General features: G+C 39.6%; 1 protein-coding gene and 1 long non-coding RNA gene across 30 annotated transcripts in view, besides 1 other annotated feature; one reads left to right on the forward strand and one right to left on the reverse strand.

The window, feature by feature from the left end:
• Nucleotides 8,490–27,028, reverse strand: part of EYA1 (EYA transcriptional coactivator and phosphatase 1) — a 350,662-nt gene continuing 332,123 nt past the window's right edge. For all 27 annotated transcript variants that reach the window (XM_047421528.1, NM_001370336.1, XM_011517484.4 and 24 more), the window contains 4 exons: nt 26,671–26,785; nt 26,444–26,565; nt 22,213–22,313; nt 8,490–10,477 (listed from right to left, as the gene is read on the reverse strand). In XM_047421528.1, coding sequence (XP_047277484.1) covers nt 10,397–10,477; nt 22,213–22,313; nt 26,444–26,565; nt 26,671–26,785 — 419 coding nt within the window. In that variant the 3' untranslated portion in view covers nt 8,490–10,396. The remainder of the gene's footprint in view (nt 10,478–22,212; nt 22,314–26,443; nt 26,566–26,670; nt 26,786–27,028) is intronic.
• Nucleotides 10,197–22,230, forward strand: LOC105375894 (uncharacterized). 3 transcript variants are annotated; one of them, XR_007060958.1, is made up of 3 exons: nt 10,197–10,402; nt 11,039–11,199; nt 17,838–22,230. It is a non-coding gene; the product is annotated as an uncharacterized LOC105375894 (long non-coding RNA). The 3 variants fall into 3 exon arrangements; XR_007060959.1 differs by having other exon boundaries at nt 11,039–15,721; nt 17,838–17,874; XR_001745954.2 differs by lacking the exon at nt 17,838–22,230 and adding an exon at nt 15,233–16,054.
• Nucleotides 16,339–16,961: an enhancer, noted in NCBI's record as "OCT4-NANOG hESC enhancer chr8:72117517-72118139 (GRCh37/hg19 assembly coordinates)". NCBI's record gives its function as "activates a minimal SCP1, AML or CMV promoter by ChIP-STARR-seq in naive H9 embryonic stem cells {active_cell/tissue: H9 hESC(naive)}" and the evidence as "EXISTENCE:reporter gene assay evidence [ECO:0000049][PMID:30033119]".

The following is a 27,028-nucleotide window of genomic DNA, read 5'->3' on the forward strand; positions in this document are numbered from 1 at the left end:
AGTGGATCTTTAAAACATGTGGACGATTCTATGTCAAAGAGAACTATTTTTCTAGCCTGTAATTTTCTTCAAAGTCTATTGATGTAAGGCTGTTTAGAGCAGTCTGTTGTTTTTTCTGATTCCTGCATATTCTTTTGTTTTTCATGGAACATGTTGCACCAATTTCCTGTCAGGCTTTGCAAATAAATATCAAGGTCAGGGGCTGGAAGCATTTATGGAGCTATCGTGGCACCTCTTGGTTCTACTGAGCCAAGAAATGCTTTCAACCCCAGAGGGCAGAAGTTCTTCAAAACAAGACTGTTCCAATAAGGGTGTGGGCTTTCTCCATCCACTTGCTCACCCTCCTTTTTGCATTTTAACTACTTTAGGAAGAATGGAAAGTCTGGAAAGCCTTTGGTATTTTTGAACCACTAAGTAGGCTAGGTGGTGGAACCTGTGGTGATTTCTCAGTGAGAGGTTCCTACAGACTGGGCCATGAAGAGGTGGGGTGGTGAAGGTGGCCATTTCTGCAGGACTGAGGAGGCAGCAGGGCCTCCTCCTGCTCAGACTTCCTGGCCCCTTCCTTCTTCCGTTGGGCTGTCTGGACTTGTAGACTTTGATCCCTGCAACTGAGTTGGCATTTATATTGGCCTTGCACACATGAGGGCTAAAGCAAGCATAGGGGATTGATCCTTTTCAATGTCTAGTCCCTTTTAATGTCCAAGTTAACACAACAATCTCTTCCCCTTCCCTCTAGTATGCTCTTGGTCTTGGTTTTTCTTTTTCTTTCTCTTCTTTTCCTCTTCATTGCTTTGCTGTTTGAGGTGGGCTCTGAGCCTGTAAACAAGGAAGTGCTAGGGACAGCATCAAAGGGGTCTTGTGTCAAGGACTTTCAAGCAGCCTCTGGATGCTTGGTTCTCTAGAAGGATACAGCACCCTTGTTACAGGGAAGCACAAGGTGTGAGTGTTTTCAGAAACCTAGGTCCAAAAGTCCTGCTAGGTATCTGGTATCTGGGATTTAGTCGTCCCAAATTTGGCTATATATCACAATGAGCTTGGGGCCTGAGCCTGAGACCACCTCTAGGCTGTTTTTAGTAGTGACTAGAGGTAGATGATAGAGGCCTTCATATGGAGGGTTTAGCTCTTTATAATCTCTTTCAGCCAACCACCTCCCCATTTTGTAATGGAAAAGTGACATTTTCTCAATGGCAAGTAAAGGGCTTCTGCCTGATTGCTGAACTTTCTTGAGCCATCAGGAAAACCAGGTTGCTATTCTTGTCCCTCTAAACGGTTCACTGCAGTGTGCGTACACACACACACACACACACACACACACACACAATTTCAATAATATATAAAATTACTTCCAGACAGCAAAGCCTTCCAGTCCTGGGATAGTGAGAAGATTTAGAATGAACCAACATGCTCCCTTCAGCTGTAACTCTCTGACTTAATTATATACAATATTGTGCATGGCTGGATCCAGTCAGACCCTTTCCAGTGTTGGATGGGAAAGGGAAGAACAAGACAGGAGGATCTTGAAGCCCATCCCACCTGCGAATGCCTGGCTCTGCCTCTGGGATACCTGCTATGTCAGTTCCATGTTTCCATCCCTGCCATTGGACAGACTCTCACAACACCTTGCTTGGACTGTTGCAGAATCTCCCACATGTCTGCCAGCCTCCTGTGTCTATACATTTCTCCATCATGGGTAAAATGAATATACACTTGATTTGATTATCCTCCAGGTTAAAATTCTTTGACATCTTCATCATGACAGATATAGTCCCAACTCCTGGGGCTCTGAGTGTGGACCCTTGCTGATCTGGACCCACTGAATTTTTCAGGTTTTTTCTCCTTCTTTCCTCATCTATCCACCCCACATGGAAGCTTTGCTTCACTGAATTTGAAATTTCTCCAATGGTGTACTCTTAGTCCCCAGGGCCTTTGCTCATTCACCCATTATTTATTCATCTATCTAGTCAACCAATATCTTAATTTTATTATAAACATAAGTAGAAAATGCATTAACCTGCCAAGCATTGGCCTTGATGCGAGGTGTAGTGTAGTTGTGTCCCTCATCTTCCTGGAGTTTCCAGCCTCCTGAGAGAGGCAGATGGCAGAAGAGTAATGGAACAGACCAAAAATGATCAATTGTGGGAAATGCAATAAAGGGAACAAACTGAGGGGCTCTGTGAGGGAAGAAAAGAGTAGGGTCTTGTTGGGGAAGAGCTGTGTCTTTGAGATGGACTTGTCAGCAAGGCTTGTGGAGGGTGTGATGTTTAAGCTGAGACCTGAAATGTGGGGAAAAAACCAGCATGGGAAGAGGCCTTTGGGCAAAGAGCACATGTAAAGGCTTTGAGATGGAGATGCACTTAGGACTTTCAAGAACCGGCAGGGAGGCTAGTGTAGCAAAAGCTTCAAGAGTGAGGAGCTGGGGGCAGACTGCAGGTAGAGAGGTGGGTGGTGGTCAAATCAGAACATTCAAGGAGCTTGAGATCTTTTTCTAAAAGCAATACTGTAGTAATAGGCAGTACTAGGATAGGATTTACATTTTAAACTGACCCCTGAGGCTGTGGTGTAGGGAATGGCTCAGGGAGGGGAGGATGAGGGTTGGGAGATCAGCTGGAAGCTCTTCCAGGAGATCTGTGAAGGATACCTGTGACAGGGACCAGGTGATGGTAAGCAGCAGAATGATCAGAGATGTGCTGTGTGGGAAATTGGCAAGTCTTAGTTAAAGGCTGAAAGTGGGGCTTGAGAGAGATGGGGAGACATTGAGAATGTCTTCTGATTACTAGATATGTGGCTTGAGCAAGTTAGCCAGTTACAGGGGGAGTTTAGGGAGGACTGGGTTTAAGAACCTAGTTGGCATCTTAATGTTTCTTTTATTTCACTTAGTTCAATGAAAGTATCATCTTTTCAATGAGACTTCTCCTCTTTCCCCCAGGCAACACTCATTCCTGCATCTTCTGAGTTTCCATCATAAATTAAAATTCTTTACAAAATTTGCCCCCCTAGATTGTGGGTATCCTTGGAATTTAGCGAGGCCCTCATCATAGGATGCCTTTTATCACAAATCTGTTTCCCACTGGAAGGTCAGCCCCTTGAGAACACCTCTGACACTGGTCAGAACTCTTCATTCACAGTAGGAGCTCCCGCTGATGGTTATTGAATGGTGTTGAGTTGGGTCATAAAGATTTCATGGGCATGGGCTTGGGTAACTGGGAATCAGAATGGATTAGAAAGGAAAGACCAAGAGCTGGAAAGTGCACTTGGCCAATTGGACAGCCCTGCTTGGGGGTGACTAGCAATGGAGGTCTTTCTCACATAGCTGGCTGGCACAAAACAATGCTGCTGCTTAAGCCCCATGCCAGACAAAGCAAATGAGGATCTCTGGGCTGGAGCTCAAGCATGGGGATTTTTCAAAGCATCCCAGCTGATTTCAATGGGTAGCCAACTGGGAATCCTACTAGCATAAGGAGATTAGAGTTTTCAGGGGCCTTCTTTTATGGAGTTGACCAGAGGTCACTGCAGAGCCCTGCCCAACAGGCAGCACACAGAGGTGGGGAGGAAGTGAGGGTGGGCTGGCACATGGGAAATGGTGTGGGCTCACCTCCTGCACACCTGGAACACCCCCTGTCACCTGTGCACCTTAGGCTTTATGTCAAGCCAGGATAGAAGATGGACAGGCCATGGGGTACCTGCAGCAGAGGATCTCCACTTCAGCTACCTGGAGGGAATCCACTTTCAGGGTTGTCAGCCTAGCTATTGTCACAAGAAGTAAATTCCCCTGTCCAACCAGCCCACAAAACCAGAACAGAACTGCTCTGTGACTGTCCAGGCATACACTCTGAGACCTGAGGCATGTCTTGCCCCCTCACGGGTGACTTCTCAAAAGGCTTTCCCCTGGCAGAGCATCCGTTTTCCTTCTGTTGCCAATAAAAATCCCCAGCTCTGTTCTTTCTCCTTCGCATCCTTCTATTGCTTCTGACAGAGTTTGCCAGTTAGCTGAGGTCAGGATTTCCTTTTTACAAACAACCTGTTTTCAGTCAGCAAGGCCAGAGGTTTCTTAAATTACAAACCCTTTCATTTCTTTTGCCGCAAGTCATCCTGTCAGTTTGTATAATGACATAGAATGGAGAGAAATGGAGATGTGCAGAGAGACACTGAAAGAAAAGAGTAGCTCACTTTCTCGAGCCTTTTGGATTGTAAAAAAACTGTCTTGAACATGATAGCGAACTCTATTCCAGCTGAAGCTTTTGTAGCTGCGTATAGTGTGGGTAAAGGGCCAGTGCCTGAAAGGAAATTTCTTACAAGTCTTAAATGAACACACAGTGTCCATCATCTCTATATTCTGTTAAGCAAATGGCCTCCTTTATAGTCATTTGAATTGGGAATCATCCATGATACATGCAAATGTTCTGAAAAGCAAATTGAAAAGTTATGAAATACGTTTTCATTGATATGTATAGGTGTTTACTGGAAGGTATGTTTTAACCCAAACTCTGGAAGGATGACAAAGGATTGAGGCACTAAGGTAAAAAAGACAAAAGGCCTTTGGACATCATTGGAAAATTGTGCTAACTGTGGACAAAGCACTAAATATTCCTGGAAAACCCAAAGAGGACACCTAAACTTACCCTATTATTTAGTGATAGATCAGGGAGGCAAAGCCAACTGTTACAGGCCTGAGAGCTCCTAATCTTTTCATGATTCAGTATTGCATCCAAGAGGGTGGTTTGGGGTCATGGCTTTGCTTTACTTGGCTGTGACCCATCGGGCAAAGCATTTAACCCAAGTTTTGTAACCTGTAAAATGGGCTCAACTAGATACTCCTTAGACCTCATATTTGAAGGCTTGTTTAGCATAGAAGCATCACCATTAGCGAAGGCTGTGTATGCTGATGTAGGAGTCTCAGTCCCTTTCTATTCCTATCCTCTGCCTTTTCTTTCTCCCGTGAAGGGTAAGCAGTCATGCTCACATACCATAAAGGCACAAAGCCTGTAGCTTTACTCTGAGATGGACAGTTAAAGCCCTTGCCTCCTCTCTCTCCTGGCTGCCCAACCCGTCATCTCTGCCTCCCAGACTCACAGTCCTGGCTCTCCTGCCCTTCCCTTATCCTTCCCTAGCTTGCTGCCCACCTTCTCACTCTGAGCTGCTCTCATTTTCTTCTCTTCTCCCCACTCCCCTTGGGCCAGCTCCTCCCCAGGCTTCAGGTCTTAGCTGAGACATTGGTTCTTCAGGGAAGCCTTTCTTGCCTGCCCAGGCTGCCCACAGTAGATCACTCCCTCGCCTCTGTTAGTCTTGCTCATTGAGCCCTTCCGAGAATTGTAATGAATTCTTTAACAGTCACTGTCCCAATGCTCAAAGTCAGGTATGAGACTTTTTTAGCTTGTTTTCTAGACCTGGCCAAAACAATGCAGTGGACTTTTGTAGGGTCTGTGCATCCAAGAAGCTGGTTCTTCAGTTGGGGAAATATTTTTGTGAAAAGTTAGCTAGTACAGTAATAGACAACATTAGAGAATCTTCCAGGCAGTGTCCCAAGCACTTCACATATACAATTGACCCTTGAACAAGGCAGGGGTTAGAGGCACCAACCGTTCTGCCGTTGAAAATCCATGTATATCTTTTGACTTCTCAAAAACTCAACTAATAGCCTACTGGAAACTGGAAGTTTTAACGATAACATAAACAGTCAATTAACACACGTTTGGATATTATATACTATATTCTTAGAAAAAAGTTATTAAGAAAATTATAAGGAAGAGAAAATATATTTACCGTTAAGTGGAAGTGGATCATCATAAAGGTCTTCATCCTTATTGTCTTCATGTTGATTAGGCTGAGGAGGAGCAGGAGAAGTTAGTCTCACTGTTTCAGGGGTGGCAGCAGTGGAAGAAGATCCACGTATAAATGGACCCATGCAATTCCAGCCCCGGTTGTTCAGGGTTCAACTGTATTAACTTATTTTGTCTTCATAATAGTCCTCTGAAGTAGATACAATCATTATTCCATTTTTACAGATGGGGAAATTCCTAACCACTGGGATGAACTGTCCACAGTGGTGCTGAGACCCCTTCCCTTGGGGCGTGTCCAGATTCCTCTTCTGTCTCACTACTTCCTCCATTTGACCTATGTAAATATTTAGCCATCACTAAAAAAAAACCTGGGTTTATATTTCCACCATCCTCGTCTGAATCTGACCACTGTTTGCTGGGACTGTCCTAACAGCTGAATAACTGGTTTCCCCATTTCTTCTCTTGCTCCTGTCCAGCTCCTTCTCCACCCTCTTCTCCACTCAGCAGCTGGGTGATCATTTCAAAGAGTAAACTAGACCAGGTCCCCCCACTAGGTAAAAATCTCAGTGACCTCCTATTCACTTAGGATAGCATCCAGACTCCAGACCACGACCTCTAGGTCTTCCTGGTCTCCTTCCCTTTACAAAGTCATCTCTTGCTCCTCTCCTCTTGGACCCATGGGTGTGGTTCTCATTTGGAGGATAAACAGAGTGTTCTCCTCTGTGGACCTTTGCCTGCATGTCCTGCCTCTCATCTTTACATGCTTCCACCTTCTTAGCAGTCAGGTTTTGGCTCAGACATCTTGGCTCTGTCCATTCTATTAGAGGAAACTTACACCTGTCACTGACCCATGTTCTGTTTTATTTTCCAAAAAGAACCCTTTTGATATGAATGTAGCTTATTCATTCATTTAGTAATTCATTATGGTCTGTTTCCACCAACTCCAATGTAAACTCAGTCCTTGGGGCATGGACATCCTACCCTCAGCACCTGGGACAGTGCCACACTATTGAGGGGTAGGGGGCAGTGAGTCTTTATTGAATGAAATATGGACTTCCAATAAAGGCATAGACAGAGGGAGAGAAGAGAAGGAGCTAACACTGCATGCCATTGATACCGGAGTTAGGAAAAAATCATTTAGGCAGATAGTGAGGGTAGAAGAGTCCTTGGTAAGGTTTTCCTTTTAATGAAAAGCAGCCCCAAAATAATTTTCTTTTCTAAGTAAGAGTAGCCTGTAAAATTGAGCTGCAGACATAAACAAGCAAGCTGGAAGCTTGCACAGGTGAGTGCCAGCAGTTGTGTCAATAGAAAATGGCTACCTAGGACTAGGCATGTTCAAAATGGTGGCTCCATATTCCCTTCTCTTTGCCAGCCATGTGTACAGTAAGGAGCAAACAAGATGGGCTGGCCAAGTGGAAAGCCCATTTGCATAACATTAGGGTAGGGCGGCCAGCCTTCCCCACGTGCTATGTGAATGTCACAGCTGGTCCAACCAATCTGTGGGCAAGGGAGAGAGCTGTCCTCCTTTTTCTTTTTCTTTCTTTTCCCTATTAAACCTCCACTCCTAAACCCGCTCCTGTGTGTCTGTGTCCTTAATCTTCTTGGTGCGAGATGATGAATGAAGCTGCTTCACCATGGTAGGGAAAAAAAAGTCTGTAGAGGAGGAAGAACTTGAGCTGGACATGATTTGGGTGGATTGAGGATAGGGTGAAGGAAGTCATTGTGGGAAATGAGAATGCTTTGGACAAAGATGAGGCAGAGATGCTTGAGAGCTGTTTGATGCATTAAGGAGCTTAGTATGTTAGCCTAGTGTACTGATGATCTGCTAATTTCAATAATGAGAGAGAATGCTGGGAAGAAAGTAGAGACTGTGTTTGGAGGCTCTAGAATGCCAAGGGGAGAAATCTGAGCCCTAAATCCATGATCAAAGAGGAGCCACTAAAAATTTTGACCAGCAGTTGTCATGTTAGAGGTGGTGCTTTATAGAAAACTCATCTTCTGGGTATGCCCTCCATTTGGCCTATTTTTTATGCTTAATTTAAGCCCTAAAAACCCCTTTACTCCCCACCACTGTCTCTCTTTAAGATTTTCCCCAAAGTCTTTTCATTCTTGGGGTGTCGGGGCATGCTCAGGCACCTCATGATTCAGGCCACTTGACCTGGTGTGTGTGTATGAAAAATACACTTCAGGGGCCTGACAAATGGGTGAGGCAGTGCATGTTTGATTTTCATGTGTTTTCATGTATGAATGTGTGTTTCTAAGATTAAATTCTCAGGAGGAAGCCAGTTGTGCTGTTTTATAGCTCTCTGTGAATGATTAATCTGACCAAATCATAGAGGTATCTGTTGTGGGCATTCTTTATTGATGAAACTGCTTTATAGTGTTGTCCCTTGGGTATATAAGTGGCTAAATCTGTGCTCTGCAATCCAAGACACTTTATGCTGAATTATGTTCTACAGTAGGTAAATTTGAGTAAGGGTCTAGTTTATGTAATTTTTGGAGAAGTGAAGAACTTTTCCATTCATCAGTACTTACAGTGATCAAAGAAACAGCTGTTACCCTGCAAGTTCAGTCCCCTAAAGGACTGATAAAGCCATCACTGCAGTTACTTCATACAACTTCCTTTTGTTGGACTTTGGGTGTCCTAATGTAACCAAGATCCTGCTATTTCATATAACCAAGAGAAAAAGATGATCCCGACAGTCAGGGAGCTTACAGTACATCACAAATAAATTTTATTAACTTAAACACAAAATTAATGAAGAAAAATTCTGTACACAACGGTGGACACAGCACACCTTTATACAGTAAGGCCAAGATAAACTTTGTCTTTTCAGTCTGCAGAGTACAAAAACATAAAATGAAAAGGTTAAAAATTGTCAACTGTTTGCTTCAAGCAAAAAGGAAGAAAAAACTAATTCAATTGTGAATTTAAACAATTTGGATAATTCACAAATGACTATTTCTAGCAGCAACACACAACTTCAGAAAAGAATGAAGTAGCTCTTCAACTACTTCGGGTCAAAGCTGGTGTTTTTCCCGCCCAATATATGATTGATTAAAGAAGACTCATCCTAAGGGTAATTTCATGACAATGGATTGTGTTTGTTAGATGAGAGAAAATATTGCCCAGCCAAACTGACCACTTTTGGAGAAACTCTTATGGTCTGACAAAGGTGATAATTTTATTATTTCCCCAGATTGATGCCTGTCATGTAGTACATAATGCAGGTGGAGAGGAACGTTGTTTCCATGGTGATGACAATGGCAATGAACCTTCCTCAGGGTGACAGGAAGAAAGAGAAAATACGCACATAGGGAGTAATGCAAAGTTTGCTGATTTCCGGATTAGCATCGTGTGTCTTCCTTTATCGAAAGAAAATGCAGACACGATAATTAATAATTCTGAGCACATGAAAACTTTGTTAGTCTCCGATTCATGAACCATTTTATTAATAAAATATATCTACTATCATCTATATTCTTTGTGGGAAGAAGCATTTGAATAATTATTTTTTCCAAGTAGTTACATATAATACATTAGTGTGGAAATGAAAAAGTGAGGTGGTAGGAGAGCTCATTTTGTTTCAAATTGTTTAAGAAACTGCTGTGTTATTTCATCAAGGCCCTCAGAAGAACTGATGCAGGAAAAAATTTTAGAAAACAAAATCCTTACTGACACTTGACATCCATGCTTTTGGTCTTGACAACATTATCTAAAAAAAAAAAATCCATTATCTACATATTTATACCGAAAACTCAGATAAGGCACGGCACATGAATTTGTGCACGTGCTGCCTCATGCTTCACTATCCAGGCATTGCTACCTTTCAATATCATTTCCCTAAACAATATGTAAAAGAATTATCCATTATTACAAATTTACACCAAAAATTCTTTCTGTACATGATTGTCTCAGTGATGTACATATTATACGTTTAAATTAGACATACTTAAAACTACTATGCAATGTGCTAAAATTCAAAGTACTGTACTTGCCATGTTGTGAGGCAGAGGCCTTTAATCACTTATTTCTAATGCTATTGTCTCTTCAATTATTTGATGTTTAAAAAAGTCTGGTGGGTGAATTATACCTCAATAAAGCTGTTTTTTTATCTTTTTAAAAAAAGTCTGTTCATAAATAAGTAGAGATGTACAGATTACCCTGGGTATGAGACACCAAAAAGTAAACCTTCTTTACAAGAAAATTCCTCCACTGGTATTCAGGAAACACATTTCAGTCTCTGTTGTGCAATTAGGTTTGCTGTATTGGAGAAGCTGTTTATATCACATTGAAAATGCTAACAACTGAAGCGTTTGCAGGTCCTTTCTTCACAGGTTTGAACCGTGTAGTTAATGTGGCAGACACATAACGCTGTGCTAAAACATTCTCATGGCTTATTTTCACTGGATTCACAGTACTAGAGTCAACAGCTGTTCTGATGAAATAGACGTGGTCCTCCATTCACCACAAAGGCAGAGGTCAAGACTGACAGCAACTGCGCATCACCAGGCGGAAATTGCTAAGTTCTGGAGGCCGGCGCTGATGCGAGACTGGGGCCTGCTGGATCTGTCCCTGGTCACAGAGCAGCTGTGCGCTGTCAAAGTGCCGAGCGCTGTTACAGGTACTCCAGTTCCAAGGCATGGTGCAGGGCCATGAGGTCCGAGTGGCTGGAGATCCTCCAGAAGGGCATCGCGTGCTGCAGCAGAGGCACACATACATGTGAGGACAGAGCACCCAGCGCCAGCCCTGCCAGCTTTTTTGGAAATCCACTCCCATGCTGACCCCCATTTTCAGTATCATTGAAATGCCAGCTAACATCTTAACATCACATCTGTTTAAAACAAAAATTCAAACTCAATCCTCCCCTAAGAATACTGGACTGAGTTGTAAAATGTAATCTAGAGTCTGTTTCTTTGAAGAAGGGGATGGATATTTCCTAACTGGATCTACACTGTGACTTGAATGCCAATTCCAAGCTTTAAATAAAAGAACGTTGCCAAATATGGCAGCTGTTCACGTATCCAGTGGGTTTTTCATGCTGAAAGTTTAAAAAGCTTGTACTTTATGAGTTTAAGCAGTTTTCCTTAGTTAGTAGTAGTTTACATTTTTTCTAACTTTTAATTGTGGCTCACATATGAAGCAGTTTTTTTTCCATTTATTTCCCTCAGTTATTCTTCATATTGACCTTAAAATGGCTTTACCATATGGAAAACGTTTTAAATGAACATCTAACGTTGTTTTTTTTGTTTTGTTTTAGGTTTTTGCAGTTGTTGTTATTTAAACCTCAATCTAAAAATCTAGTTTAAGAAGTGGGAATGTTTGTGATACACGTGAATAAACCAAGGGGAAGAACTCAGAAGTTACATCATCCATGAAGGGTGAAAATGTGATGAACTTTCACTGCTCCAAAGCACTATAGTAAGTACTAATGCATGAGCAAAACCTTTTTAAGGGAAAGATAATCATCACCCTCAGGAGAACAAAATTCTGTTTGTTTACCTTATAGAATAGGATTCTTAAGCAAAAAAATAATGTGGTGCCTGGAGTATAATTTGCAATTATAGTTCTGAGAAATTTGGAAAAATTTCAGACTAATAGGAGAATCTGGCATAGAAGCAAAGAGAAATGAGGGTTTTTGTTTTTGTTTTTTAAATGTGTAGGTGACAGTGAAAGCCATGACTATTTTGATATGTAGATCACATAGCTGCTACATACTGGGATACAAACTATTACTTATTAACAATGTATTTGCCTCAGATTATCTGTTGAAATCACATACCACATTCCAATATGTAGACCTTTCTGGACTCAAGACTATTTTGGTGTATCTGTATATATGTTATTGAGTGATAACAGAATAGTCCAGAAATTAGTACTAAATATTTCTTTGTAGATTTCTAGAAGGATGCTCCTCTTGGAAACTTCACACTGTAAGACGTAGCATTGTGCATTCATTCATACAGAGCACACTGTGTCAGGTGTAGAAGATATAGAGATGCATGTGTCGCTGCCTACCCTATTTTGAGTAGCAAACATGCACAACAATCATCAGTGTTCATTTATATCTTGTAGGAGGTGGGCAATTACCTTTGCCTAGTGAACTGGGAAAATATCTGAAGGGAGGTGATAGCTGAACTAGTTATGAAGGATTAACATTCAGAAAAACACTCTGATGGTTATGTGCATTGCAGGACAGAAAACTAGTTATGAAAGATTAACATTCAGAAAAACACTCTGATGGTTATGTGCATTGCGGGACAGAAAATAATGGAGAAATTCATTGTTGGCATACTAGATGGGTATGAGAGAAAAGACTTGGCTGGTGACATGAGTGGCTGCAGGAGCCAGCTGATGCAGGGCCTAGTAAGCCCTGCTAAGGAGTTTATTTGTAATAAACTCCTAATTCATAAATCCCAATAGTTATGATTTATTGGATATTGTGTTAGGCACTATGCTAAGCACCTCAAAGAGACAGAGGTACTACTATTACTATTGTACTAGTTAAAAAAAAAAGAAAAAAAAAAACAACCTGAGGCTTAGTGATGAAACACAGAGGTTTAAATAAATAGCTGGTAAGGAGTGAAGCCAAGATCCATATACCAGGTGTGACTCTGAAGCTCATATACTGTAATGCCTCCTACCTGTTCTCTGTAGGCTTTTTATTCAGCTGTGTAAATTATCAGCACCATAGCACAGGTTCAAACTAACTCTCTCTCTCTCTGCCCCCGTGCATTCTCTGTGGGCTAAGAGACACCAGAAGATTCATAGACCTGGGTTAGAAAAACGTTTGATCCTATAGCTTTCCTCCTCATTAGAACAGAAATTCATGTTGTAAAATATAGAACCCTATAAAGAAATACAAATCATTTCTTATCCTACTACACAAAGGTCACCACTATAAACATTTCTTTATATTTTTATATATGTACATACTCAAACATACTTGAAATTATGTGTTTATCAAGTATGTTCCATTCAGCATCCTACTCATTTTACTACTTAATCTCAAATTCATTTTACATTTTAGACACATTTTAAAAGAAAACTATTTTAAAAGTTTTCAAGTATTCAACTGTGCAGTGTTGCTATTTAACCACCTACTTGGTATCTATTTTTATATTCTCTTTATTTCTAATTGTTTTTCTTATTAGGTTTGCCAATCATTATTGCCCTTCCTCAAAGTTTCTTGTCAACAGCTAAAGGGGTTAGATAGTATTTCTATTGATCTTAAGTACTATTATCTCAGAATGTAACAAAGGATGCTGAAAGCTCTTCAGATAATCCATCTAGAAACTTTTAGGACAACCATCTTCATAAAAACATACAAAAATACTTGTGCAAAGTGGAATGCCTTTTTTCAGAGCAGGTTCAGTCAAATTCTTTTGCATGTCAATTGTCTGAGGTTCCATATGTTCCCCACAGACAAGTTACAACCATTAACAATGCAAATCTGAAAACTATTGGTGCAATCAGAATCCTGCACTGAAGAATGCCATGACTCTCAGAGAAATCAAAAAGGGAACTAAAAAAAAAAAATCCAGCTACTTCTTTGGTACATAAAGTATAAAGTGGGCATTTAATTTCATAGTAAACAAAGGACTGGTTCAATGGCTGTGTGTCTCATCTGTACATGTGTGTGGGTTGATGCCGCCTACAGAACACATGTTTTTCTTTTAAACCATACTCAACACTATCGGGAAAGGTGAGATAATCTGCAAACAACCCTAAGTTGGCTTGTTTACTGGCACTAAAATACGAATGGCTTTAGTCTTCCTGTACAGAGTATTAATAAGAACCACCTGGTCAAGCAGCACCCAGAAACGAGGTCAAAGGATAAAACTTCCTGTAGTATATTACAGACAACTCATCACAATGCAGTGGGGATGGGCCATTCATTTGGGCAGAAGAGCCAAAGGTTCTACAATGAAAACTTTGCAAATCTTAGGTGTACATGAAAGAAAACTGGTAGATTCTGGGGACACTCCACCCACAAGGATAGCAACTCTATCCTCTGCATTCTTTCATGGCATGCAGGGTAGTGATGTCGGCTGTAGTTAGCAGTTTCATTCTCACAAAAATAGTAGACTTCTTTAAGAAATGCACATTTTGTATTAAGTGAATGACTATAAGAAGACAGTCTAGAGGAGAGGAGGTGTCAAACTCCTGTTAACAATCAGAGCTAATATTGCACAATGATAATATTTTCCCTAAGTACGTACTGATGTGAAGATTTTATGCATTTATAAAAGCTTCTCAGGACAACTGGATACAAAGTAAACTTTTTTTTCTCTTGCATCAATGTTTAGCCACTAGAACAAACATTTCTTGTATGAAATCGGAGAGAAATGGTGGCAAAAGAGAAAAAGAAAAACACATGCTAGAATGAGGAGACCTGGGTTATATTCTCAACTTTGACATTAGCTATGTGACCTTCAATTATGGCACAGTCTGCCTGAAGCCCTAGTTTCTTTATAACATGAGCGTTTAGGGAAAATGACTCAGGGTTGCTTCTAGGTCAAAGAAAGTCTGTGACTTTATTATCAAAACAAAGTCTGTTACCTGCATAGCACCGTAGCTACAGTAGATACGTAATACACAAAAGACATATATCCCCAATGCCAAGAGCTGACCAGCAGGCAAGATATAACTGATGAAACAATTTTATTACAGTGTAAGGCAATGAGGGATGAAGAATTAAAAAGACAAATTCAGAGAGAAGAGAGCTCAGTTGTAACCTGGAGAGGGTAAACTGAGCTTGAGCTGAATTTGAAGAATGGGTGAAGTTGGAGAGGTGGAAGGGAAGTGGATAGGGTTCCCAGTTAGGAGGAGTAATTGGCCTGTGGAGGATGGGGCTGGACTGGTGTGTAAAATCGTAGAGATGTTAAGGAGGTTTGTCAAGGTAGCAGCACTTGGAATATCTAACTAAGGAGTTTAGACTTTTGTCTTGTAAATGGAAGGAGCGAGAGGCTAACACTTCCTCAGTGCCAAGAGACACAAATAGGTGGGGGCATTTTAAGCAATTTAGGGCAGCAGTCGGGAAGGATGGACCAAAGATGTTTCTGGCTGGTAGCAGAGAAACTAGGTAGAATTACAGTGGAAATGGAGTGGGTGTAATAGATGCAAGACATATTGTGAAGAGAGTTCATGTGACTCAGCGGTGGGTGGGAATCAAAGAACCCCAAATCATGTCTGAGTGGGCCAACTGGTTTGGGATAGCTGAATTCATTTGCTTGTATTCAGACATTCAGATGGGTAGAACATGGGATATTTACCCAGAGATATTTTCTCAGGTTGCTGAAGCCCTGGGACCAAAAACAGAGCTACCCACAAATCTTAACAGAAATGACAGCTGGAACTGCAACATGCATGTGATTCGTTTATCAAGATTAGGCATATATTGAGAGAAGTAGGTATCAAGGCCTAAAATTAGCACATGCTTTTGTGTCTCCAGAACCAAAATTTTGCCTGATGGGAAAACAATGACACATCCTTCCTGTTTTTCTTGCCTCCTGGAGCAACTTCAAAAATCTCCTTCCTCCATCCTTCCTCATCTGATATTTAGCATTTATACTTTTAGACTACATATAACAACAACCATATAAAAAGCTGGGTATGTGGATACATATATGTAAGCAGAATTTTGCTGAATTATTAAAAATGTGTTAATTACAATGTTTCAAAGTTTTTAAAGCATATACCCTCTGACTTAATTATTGCAGTTTTAGGAATTTATCCTACAGATGCACTTGCACATGCATGAACTGCAGAACTGTTTGCAGTAGTAAATACTGGAAACCATCTAAATGTTCACCCCAGAGGACTGGTTAAATAGCACATCCACATGATGGAATACCGATGCAGTCACTTAAAAGCATTAGAGATGCAAAGCTTCATGGACTGATATAGAATAACTGCCAGGATGAATTAACTGAAAAAGCAGGTATGAAAAAAAGTGTATACTTCTCATTTGTGTAAAAAAATACTTATTTGTGCTTTCATGTGCACATATAACATTTAGAAAGTTTTGCAGATGGAATTACAAATACTTTTCAAATTGTAAAGAAAGATATCAAGGGAGAACTTATTATGAAACTTATTGTGCAACGTTGCTCTTTTATTTATATATCTGCTTGCCCTCTAGACATAAGTATGCTTTTTAAGGATGACGATGAAATCCAGTTCAAAACCTGGCATATAGTAAGTGATTAACTATAAATGAATTTATGACTTTACAAAAATAACATTCACTGTACTTGGTGTTTATAACCTTGATGTCCCACTTAAACTAAAAACAAAAAAGTGCTTTACAAATGTTATTTTATAAAAGTGGCTTGTATTTTTCTCCTAAATAAGCTTGAAATTGGGCATTATTAATCAGGTTCTCGGCTTCATCTTGGATTTCAGCAAGTTTTAGAATGTACATATAAAATGAACATATTTAATGACGCCTTTCTCACTGTGCAGAAAATGGATGCTTGCCATTTTTTCTCCCTTTGCCATAAACAAGAGATTTATTTTAAATAGTTCTCTGAAAATAATTTATTAACAAGGCCACTTTTACTACTCTAGAAATGAAAACTAGATGTCAATGTACAGGAGACTATTTCCTACATTTTTTTTTTTAAACAATCATACCTAGGTCTAATCATTTTCTCTCAAGCCATGTTGCATTAGGGAAACAAATAATTTTATGGTAAAAAAAGAACAACTGGTGGATTTTGACAACAAAAGACATACGTCAAAGGAAGACTTCCATAGGTAGAGACTTCCCACAATCTTTCTAAGAACAAAGAGGCACTCACACAAACTCCTGCAAGAGATCCTTTCAATATGAGGTTGTTCTTTTACGAAACAAAGGTATTTCTAACTTCTTCTCTTTGAAGGAGGTACTTTTTATGATGCAAATTATAGAGTTAAATTACTGATGAAAGCCCTTGGACTACATTGGCAAAGAGAATAAGGATGACAGAATAGATTTCAATTGACCATTAACGAAAGAGGCAACTGGCAGATTTACTTACTGGGTTTTGTTTCTGTGATTTAAAAAAAGTAACAATCTCTAGCAAAAGAACATTATTTAAGGAGATGACAGATCTCTACAAGGGAAAGAAGAGCATGTTGTATTAGATTTTGAAGGACACAGGAAACTAAGAGAGACAAGCTAAATAGTTAAAATCAATTTCGAAGCAATGTAAAATGTTTTGATTTGGCAAAACATTTTAGTGCTCAAATGTGCAGAACTTCATTGGTTTGCTATTAATTTATTTAATAAACTAAATTGCTCAGGAGCTAAAGCACATATCAGAATTATGTGTTTTAAAAATTTTAATTATGAATGTAAAATTAGGGGAAAGAAGACACTTATATAGTTATATCTAACTCCTGAAAAGAAAGAAGAATTGCATTTTACTCTAATAATTTTTTGAAAAACCATGTAAATTCTTTTTTGTAAGTCAAGTCATATTTAAGATATATAAATGTAGTTTATAGTTTGAAGAAACTTTTTTTTTTTTAAACAGGGTCTTACTCTGTCACCCAGGCTGGAGTGCAGTGGTGCCATCATCACAGCTCACTGTAGCTTTGACCTCTGAGGCTCAGGTGATCCTCACACCTCAGCCTCTCCAGTAGCTTAGGACTACAGGCAGCACCACTATGCTGGGCTAATTTTTGTACTTTTTGTAGAGACGGGTTTCACCATGTTGCCCAGGCTGGCCTCAAACTCCTGGGCTCAAGTGAGCCACCTGTCTCAGCCTCCCAAAGTGCTGGGATTACAAGTGTGAGCCACCACTCTCCGACTGCAGAAACTTTTCACTAAATCTCACAGTCAGAGGAAATACCTGAGTTCAAATCCTAATTTAGCTACTTTCTAGCTGTGTGATTTTGGCCGAATTATTCACCCTTACAGTGCCTCAGTTTTCTCAAGTGTAAAATAGGTCTAAGGATTCCTTCATAGGATTATGAGGATTTAATGAGAAAAATGGATGGGAAGGCCTAAAAGAGGGACTGGGATATAATAAGGGCTTTATAATTGGTAGCATTTTTTTTCTTTGGGACAGGATCTCATTCTATCATCCCAGCTGGAGTGCAGTGGCATGAGTTCGGCTAACTGCAGTCTTGACCTCCTGGGCTCCAGTGATCCTCCGACTTCAGCCTCCTGAGTAGCTGGGACTACAGGCACCCACCACCACGCCCGGGTAATTTTTATATCTTTTATAAAGACAGGGTTTTGCCATGTTGCCCCAACTGGTCTCAAACTCCTGAGCTGAAGTGATCCACACACCTTGGCCTCTCAAAGTGCTGGGATTACAAGTGTGAGCCTGCCTTGGTAGCAATTTTTGTTACTTACTAATATTATGATTAATCCTACAGCATAGAAAGCCATCTCTTAGTTTCTTTAGCTTGAGTTTTCATATGTAGTTTTAAAAATGAGATGTTGTTGAACTGTAGAGGGCTCCTCCTCCTAAATTATTTCCCATAGGTTAAATATTAAGTATTCTCTACTTCTGTGCAGCACTCCACTTTAAAGATACTCATTATCTTTTGTGAATGATTAGATCCTTGTCTCTTAACTCATATACAAAGACGACTATTTATATACTAGTTAACTTGAAAAGGCTAGACAAAAATTCTCCTTCAATAAAGTTAGAAAATAAGAAAGGAATGTTCAACTTGTTGTAAATTGATGACGTCTGAATCTTTTGCAAGATTATTAGAAATCGAGATATTGTGAAAAATTTGTCCATTTTACACATCCACACAGGCAGTTCTCAAGGTACAAAGAGTGGTTTGCAGCAGATATTTTTGGACTCTTGTCACGTACAGTCATCCATGAAATAAAAATGGAAAGCTAGGAGGACTCATTTGGTCAAAAAATTCAGTATGTTTTCTGCAGGTGGCTGCCTAATTTCTTTTTTGTGTGTGCCCTATATTAAAAAAAAGACATGTCCAAAGATAAACAGTGGAAACAATCTTTTTTTAAGCCATTCTATATTTAATTTTATTCTGTAATTGCTGATTGGTTGTTGAGAAAACACAAATATCAGAGTTTATTATCAGAGTGATCTAGGAAAGAAGGTTAAAAAAAAAAGGATTTTCCAAATAATTGTAATAGAATACTTTTGTACAAAGAAGGATTTTCCAAATAATTGTAATAGAATAGTTTTGTACACCTTATAATTTATTCTTTGGTACTGTTGTAAATGAATTGTACCAGCATTTGAATTTTAAGTGTTTTATTGGGTTGTTCCTACTGTTATCACCAACATTCTATGTGTATTAAATTAGTATTAAAACTTTATAATATACATGGAAGTAATTGGAAACCCTCTAAAGACTATGAATCAGTGAGGCAAACATTTAGGAACTGTCTATAGATTTAAAAATTATGAACCTCAGCCTGTTTCCAGTATAAAAATTAACTAAAACTGGCCGGGCACAGTGGCTCATGCCTGTAATCCCAGCACTTTGGGAGGCAGAGGCGAGTGGATCACTTGGGGTCAGGAGATTGAGACCAGTCTGGCTAACTGGTGAAACCCCGTCTCTACTAAAAATACAAAAATTAGCCAGGCATCGTGGCACATGCCTGTAATCCCAGCTACTTAGGAGACTGAGGCAGGAGAATCACTTGAACCTAGGAGGAGGAGGTTGCAGTGAGCCGAGATCGCGCTACTGCACTCCAGCCTGGGTGACGGAGACTCTTTCTCAAATAAAACAAAAAACCAAAAACGAACCTCAGCCTATTTCCAGTATAAAAATTAACTAAAATCTTTTAACTAAAACCTTTTATTACATCAGAAATACATAAAGTTTTCATGTCCGCTCTACCAACAAAATGTATTGAGCACCCATTTGTCAAAGCTGTCAGGATTAGAATCTACCAGGAAGTGTCAGCATTTGCCTAATGTAATGATGAGTTGACGGATGCAGCAAACCAACATGGCACATGTATACCTATGTATCAAACCTGCACATTGTGCACATGTACCCTAGAACTTAAAGTATAATAAAAAAAAGAAAAAAAAATCTTAACTGCTCTTCAAAGACAGCAAATACTCTAGCCCTATCAATACTTTCAATTCTAACCTGAAACCAAGAATTCCTTTGTTTTTTTCCATGTTGTGTTCACTGAAGTCAAACTTCTAAGAATTGTACTTATCAGAAAGGTTTAGGAAGGGACTCACTCACAGAAACCTTGATAAGATCCAAAGGATTTCACTTGTGTTCCCTGCATTTTAAGTAATCACTTTCATAAACATCCCTCTCTGCCTACCACAAGCTAGAAAGCCACATTTTAGCAATTTTTGATATTAAACTTTCTGGTAGATACCAGAGGGAGAAGGACCAGCCTGGAGATGGCTTCACACCTTGGCCTAGGGCCATACTGGTCAGAGGTACAAATCTGTTCCATCCCTGCCCTGCTGGCCACTAGGAGGGTCCTGAATAGGAATGGCTTGGGAATGCCAGAGGCTTTCCTAGAAAGAAGACTTGAGTCTGGATGTCAGAAAACATTCTCTTCAACTCTCCAGGATTGTGTTTTGAGGATTCTGACTTAGGCTGGGAAAGGTTTTATTTTATAAAGACAGCCCAGAGAGGTAACAGAGGCACCCAATGACACTAGTGGTTGGTCGTCGGTGAAGTGGGAAGATTAGAACTACTGCTTAAATGGCAAATGCTGCTTCACATTGAGCATGAGGAGACCTGAAGTCACGTGTGGGTTTCTACCAGCACCAACCAGACTCACGCAGGTTTGTGACTGGGATACATTCTGTATTTATGGGTATTCATGAAATTATCTAGTTTAAAATTAGGGTCAGTGATTATGATTTTAGTGGAACTCAGAGGCACTGAAGGTAAACTAGGCCATCTTCAGAGCCTGTAGGAAGGCTGGCCATGTATCATACTTAGGCTCAGTGCTGCATCTGTAATCTGGTGACCTTACATGCTGTTTCTGGTATATGCTGAAATATTCCAGAAGGGCTGAGATATTGTATCATTTATGGAAATATACATGGATTCCTATGAGGGAGTGTGTAAGGAAGGGAATGGAAAATTATGCTGTTGGTTAATCCCATAAAATATTTAATTGTTCTTCAATTCAAGAAACATTTACAGAGTACAACTATGACAAGATTTAGGGAGTTATAAAAAAATCTGAAGACAGTCTCAACAAACCAAGCAAAGTAAGATCCCTGAATCTGTGAAGCTCACATTTCTTTGCTGAAACAGGCACATAAACAATAACAATAGCTACCATTTGTTGTACACTTTACACATATCTATATTATGGGAATTATATATCTTTACTATATCTAATCCTCAAACTAGCCCAATGAGCTAAGTGCTATTACTATCCCCATTTATAGACAAGGAAAGGGAAACAGAGGGTTAAGAACTTGTTCAAAGTCACAGGAAGGGTAAGTGGCAGGGTCATAATTCAAACTCATGCTGTCTGGCTCAAGAATCCAAGCTATTTATCACTACAGCTCCTTCAGTTAAAATATAAGGGAGCATGATTATAATTGATCTCTTAAAAGCATAACAGAAAAGGTAGTACATGAATTAAATTTTGCAAATGAATAAGACAATGACGGAATGGTATTAGGGAAAAGATTCCAAGGAGACACAACAGGAAGGAAAAGCTGTGGGGCATGGTCAAGGAAAGCTGAGTGGACTGACACAACTACAGTGTAAGGTACAGGAGGGAGACAGATCAGAAAGGCAGGCTGTAACCAGACTGTGGAGACCCTCAGTGCCAGGCTAAGGAAGGTGGTCCTTGGCTTTTAAAAATGCAATGAGAGGCCCAATGAGAAAGCTTTTGCTCAGAGAAATGATAGAATTACACCTGCAGAGATTCAGAAGAATATAATGAACAGCAATGGGCAAAGCGGGAGTCAAGAGATTTATAGTTGGGTCCACTCCCTTCCCCCTGCCCTGAGAGAGACAGGTAGGACCTCATGATATGAAGAAGACATCGAGTCTTCTGGGGCAGCAGATAGTTTTATCTTCCAAGTCAGCTTTGACCAACTGATAGAGGCTTTCTGAAGGATGTTTGAAAGGTTCTTAGGCTGCGTCCAGGCTCAGGTAACAAGGTTTGAACCACCTGGCATGTCTGCCATGGGTACAGAAAAGGTCCTGCTGGCACATGTGTTATCTCTGCTCTGGATGACAGCTACACCACTAACAACACTTCAGTTCTGCTCCCAAATTCTACCTTCTATGAACACCACTTGTGGCCCTTGAGTTTGTGCACACTACTATTCAGAAAGATCACTCCATATTTATTGAATTCTACTTTACCCTGTTCAGTGCTTAGAGTACTGCACATATTCATCACGTTTCACATAAATGGAACCTGTTTAAATGATCCAGTTATGAGAATACTGAGGACTGAAAAAACAAATGAGACAAGATGCACCATCTAGGAATGCTCACCTTTTTTGCTCCTTGTTCTTCTTCTACACCATCTCCTATAACAACATACACCACTTTTCTTCCAAACCTTTGAATTATTCTCTCAAAACAGCTTTCTTTTCCTAGTGAACAAAAATAAATGATAGAAAATGTGAAGTTTGGGTAACCTAATGTGACAGTGCTTGAACTTTTTATATAAAATGCTTTCTTCATGCTCTGATTCGAATGCCCCACTAGTACCTCTAAGAGGAATGCTTTTATGCCACTTGGGTTGTATGTGCCACAGCACAATAAATTACAAAGTAAATTAATTAGCAGTGTGGTGTCCTGTCCTTTGGAAATTGATAGTTAAATACTCTCTTCCCAAGGACTCATTTATTAAAAAATGGAATCTAGTCAATCACAGCATTGCAATTGGGGTGGTGGGGGAAAGTACTGTTTTGCAGTGGGACTTCTTTTTCCCCCTATATATAAGCTGAACTCAAACATAGGCAATTCTGGCAACATATTTTAACTTGATTTTAAAAAGTTTTTTCTTCATATATCAAACTTTGAAAATATCTGATCCAAAGACTATTGAGAATGATAAAAAATAACTGGACTTGTTTTTGTTCTAGCAAGAAAACGCAAACATCGGAATTAGCTTATTCCTTCATTTTCAGGTTGAATTAAAGACCCTGAAAGTCTGATGTAGTCTTGTAAAACTCCTTCTCAAATAAATGTCAGATAATTTGAGGTAGTGCAGCAAGATGGTACCTGCCTTACCCAGGCATCTAATGTTCAATGAAGCACTTTCCTGGAGGAAAACTGGAATAAAGGTAATAGAATACCCTTATCTGTCTACTATCTTTCCCGTGTCATGACTTAGTTTGGGCTCCTGTGGTGGCTACACTGTCAGCACATTCCCACAGTTAATGCAAGCATTGTTTCTTCTCAGAGAAGAAACTGGTGTTCCAACTCTTGGACTGCCAATAGGGTCATTTTAATGGACAATGGGACAGTTTATAGTTTTCAAATGTGAATGGCTGAGCGAAGCCTGCACCTCTTTCAAATAAGGATCAGATATACACATGAACAAATTGCTTGTTTGCTTAAACAAATGTCTGCTTTATATTTGTATTTTGCACTAAAATCTCTAGTTTGCATCTGACACAATGAAATAGAGCTAGCCTTATTCAAAGATGCAATTTAAATGCCTCTTTAGTTGTCCACTAAACTGTGAAATATTAAATCACTTTAAGAAGCAAATGCAAAGTATAGTCTTCACTGCAAAAATATACAACCAAAAACTTCGATGTCATGAAAGTTTTTTCTCTCCTTACGGGGAAATGCTTATGCGTTTTTGCAAAGTTTCCCTCTTGTGGAAAAAGGAAGGTAAATTCAATGTAATTTAAAGATGAAGTTGTGGTAGACAAAAAAAATCCTTGCCTATATACTATCTATCTCCTATTGGGCTCATTGCCAATTTGGGGTCATGTAGAAATTTTTCACAATAGAGGTTAAGAAAATGAAGCTTAGATTTTAGAAGTTAACTATTAGTTTTATATGAAGTATTCATTTTGATGAGTCCATTTTGTCTGAAAGGTCATCATAGCTCTGCCAACTGAGATACCAGTCATCTCCTCCTATGACTTTAGCATTTTGCCTACAATAAAAATTACTGGGGCCAGGCATAGTGGTTCACACCTGTAATCCCAGCACTTTGGAAGGCCAAGGCAGATCACCTGAGGTCAGGAGTCTGAGACCAGCCTGGCTAACATGGAGAAACCCCGTCTCTACTAAAAATACAAAAATTAGCTGGGCATGGTGGTGTGTGCCTGTAATCCCAGCTACCTGGGGAGGCTGAGGCAGGAGAATCACTTGAACCCAGGAGGCACAGGCTGAGATGGTGCCACTGTACTCCAGCCTAGGTGACAGAACAAGACTCCATGTCAAAAGAAAAAAAAAATTGCTGGGTTTTCTGCATTGATTCCCCACATATACCTTATTTGATGGTGAAATCCTACTTCCACCACCACATATTTTTTTTCTGTATTGAAAAAAAAATAAAGCTTAATATTTTAAACAAAATGCCCATTAAAAAAACAATGCTTACTGGATTGTAATTTCCTGTTATCATTTTCAAATTATTTGGGATTAAACTTCAATGCACATGCTATGTAATACACTACTCCTGCTTTCTTTCTGAGAACCTAAGCTCTACCCGCTTCTGTACTATGGGCTGCTTCGGCATTTGTTCCAACTTTCATGTGCTGGTAAACCTTTTCCACAATCCCTGTTTACAACACAATATAATTATAATTCCTCTTAATTGATATAGATGAAAATAGAATTAACATGTGACTTAAACTGTTTGCTATTTTTATGGAACATGAAAGCACATAAAAGTTCTGGTTATAATGGGCTACTAGGAATTTTACTCTATTTGATATATTTCTTGCTTTTTGATATTTTCCAACAATTTGTTCTTGGCCCTTCTTGGGAAGCATCAGTCATTCTCAAACTCCAGATATGTATTTCTAACTTGAAAGGTTAGCCTGGATGAATCCCATCAGCACCCTGCTGACTGTGTCTTTCTGCCATTGATTGAAGACCCCACTGGGTCTCTTCCAATGCAACACTGATAAAAATAAAACCTGATTTCCCCATCAGTTAATTGTGCCGCTATTGACGCACGTGCCTAAAAGAAATCTTGTGTCGGCCTTCTTCAAAATAAATGGTAATTTATTCAGCCATTCATTCAACAAATTCATCTCTACATTTATTGATACCTACTGTGTGCTGGGTGTTACAGCTACTATGATGAGCAAGAGAGACAAACCCAGTCCTCAAGATTATTACAGTATGACGGGGAAGTCATACTATGAACAAATAATTATAAAAGTCAGTAATTTTTTAGTAATCATTTAGTAAATGCTTTGAAGGAGAAGCACAGGAAGTGTAAAAGTGCAGGCAAACGGAAGTTAGACCTACAGGGATTCCATTTTTGCCCCTTTTTATTATATGGAGTCGAGCAGCCAAAGACAGCCCTCTTGCCACCTGCTAGAATGCTCATACCCCTTCCCCTGGACTAAAATAACATTCCTCTCCTTAGGGTGATATACAACGCCATTCATGCCTAGACCCAAGTATACCTTTTCAGCTTTGGCTTCTAATGAGCACTGCATACTAGCTACCCAGGGCCACTCACAAGTCCCTCAGCAGGGAACACATTTTAATTTCTCTGTCCATTTGCATTGTTCTCACTAGCCCATCTACCTGTTGAACTCCTACTTGCTCTTCTATACCCAGATCAAATGTCATTTCTTCCCTTTAGCTTTCACACTTTCATAGACACTTGGCCTCTACCTCTTCCTGGGTGGCAGTAAATGCTTCCTCAGTCATGTGCACATTCAAGCACTTAGCAATAGGACCCTGTAGGATACAGCAAGGGGTCTGGACCTTGGAATCAGAGAAACATGAGGCTTGAGCCTTGTGTTTGTGAACTATTGATTGCAACAATTTACTTAAGTCTCTGGACTTTAGTTTCCTCATTTGTAAAATGGAAAGATTATAAAGATTGACTTTAAATGCAAAATGCTTAGTACAGTTCAGGGCATCTAGTAGACAACTAAAAAATGCTCATTTGCATACTCTTGTATCATATTGGATTGTCATGTAACTGTCTGCTTCCCCTGAGAACAAGAGCCATGTCTTTTTATTCCTATGTTGATTCTGCCTTGATTTATATTCTAACTAAATTTCATAAGTATTTTCCTCCCAACTATGTTTCTTTCATGCAAGAAGCTTTTAAATCTCCACAACAAAAATGGAAACTCAATTGATTATACAGATTGAATGAAAAACAAAACAAATATTTCTAGTAATAAATCTGTTATTAGAGTTGTTTCATTTCTACTTTTTATAATTCTATCTTGCTGTTTGTTTTAGCTTAGAAAATCAGATATTTTTGTTAATGTTGCCTAAAAGGATAAAAATATGATAATAATCCAGAATCGATGCTGTTACTCTACCTAAAATGCCCTGGTCTTAACGTTAGCCAGTCAAGTAAAATTTTGTGACTTCAGCTACTGTATTATGCTTTATGTTTCTCTTACGTCTAAATCCAGTTTTGCAAATTGGTTAAATTATTCTTGTATTTTTTTTTTGACCTATGTAGCATTCTGGAAAAAAAGTTTCATTTATTGCCTTTCGTTTTTATTATCCTGAAGGAAAAGAGCTGATTGTTAAAAAGAAAAGAAAAGCAGCTCACCTATTTTAGTTGCACTGTAAATATTTTCTATTGGAAATACAATTCCTAACCCATACAGCAGGACTTTCGCCAATGCTGGGATGAGCTGAGTAGTTGTTACTAAAATATTCACACAGTTTGTCCTATGAGAACAAAAAGAAAACAAAGACTGTTGAAAAATAAATCTCCAAAATGAACAAGCACGAGCATTGCCCATTTCCTGGCAAAGACCCCGCAGAGAGCCTCACCGGGAGTGAATGAGCGAGAGTGCTTTCAGGGCCAGTGTCAACCAGGAGTCGGTCAGGGCTTCAATTTCGGCCCTCAACTGCAGCCAGGCTTCCCTCTTAGCTGGACCAAGCAGACCTGAGGATTTAAAAGCACATGATGAACTACTTCCTGACCAACATATTTCTTCGGCTTTGCAAGTAATTAACATTTAAAAAGTACTATGAATACCAGCCTCCAGATTTATAGTATACAAAGTATCTTTCACATAGTACCATTCATTTGACAAGTATTTATTTGGTTTGGTTACAGAAGTCATCTCTTTTTAGGGAACCTACTTTCCTACATTCCTCTAAGTGTAGTTTGGGCAGAGGTGACTCC

The sequence above is a fragment of the Homo sapiens genome, chromosome 8 (assembly GCF_000001405.40).
Source record: "Homo sapiens chromosome 8, GRCh38.p14 Primary Assembly".
Lineage (NCBI taxonomy): Eukaryota > Metazoa > Chordata > Mammalia > Primates > Hominidae > Homo > Homo sapiens.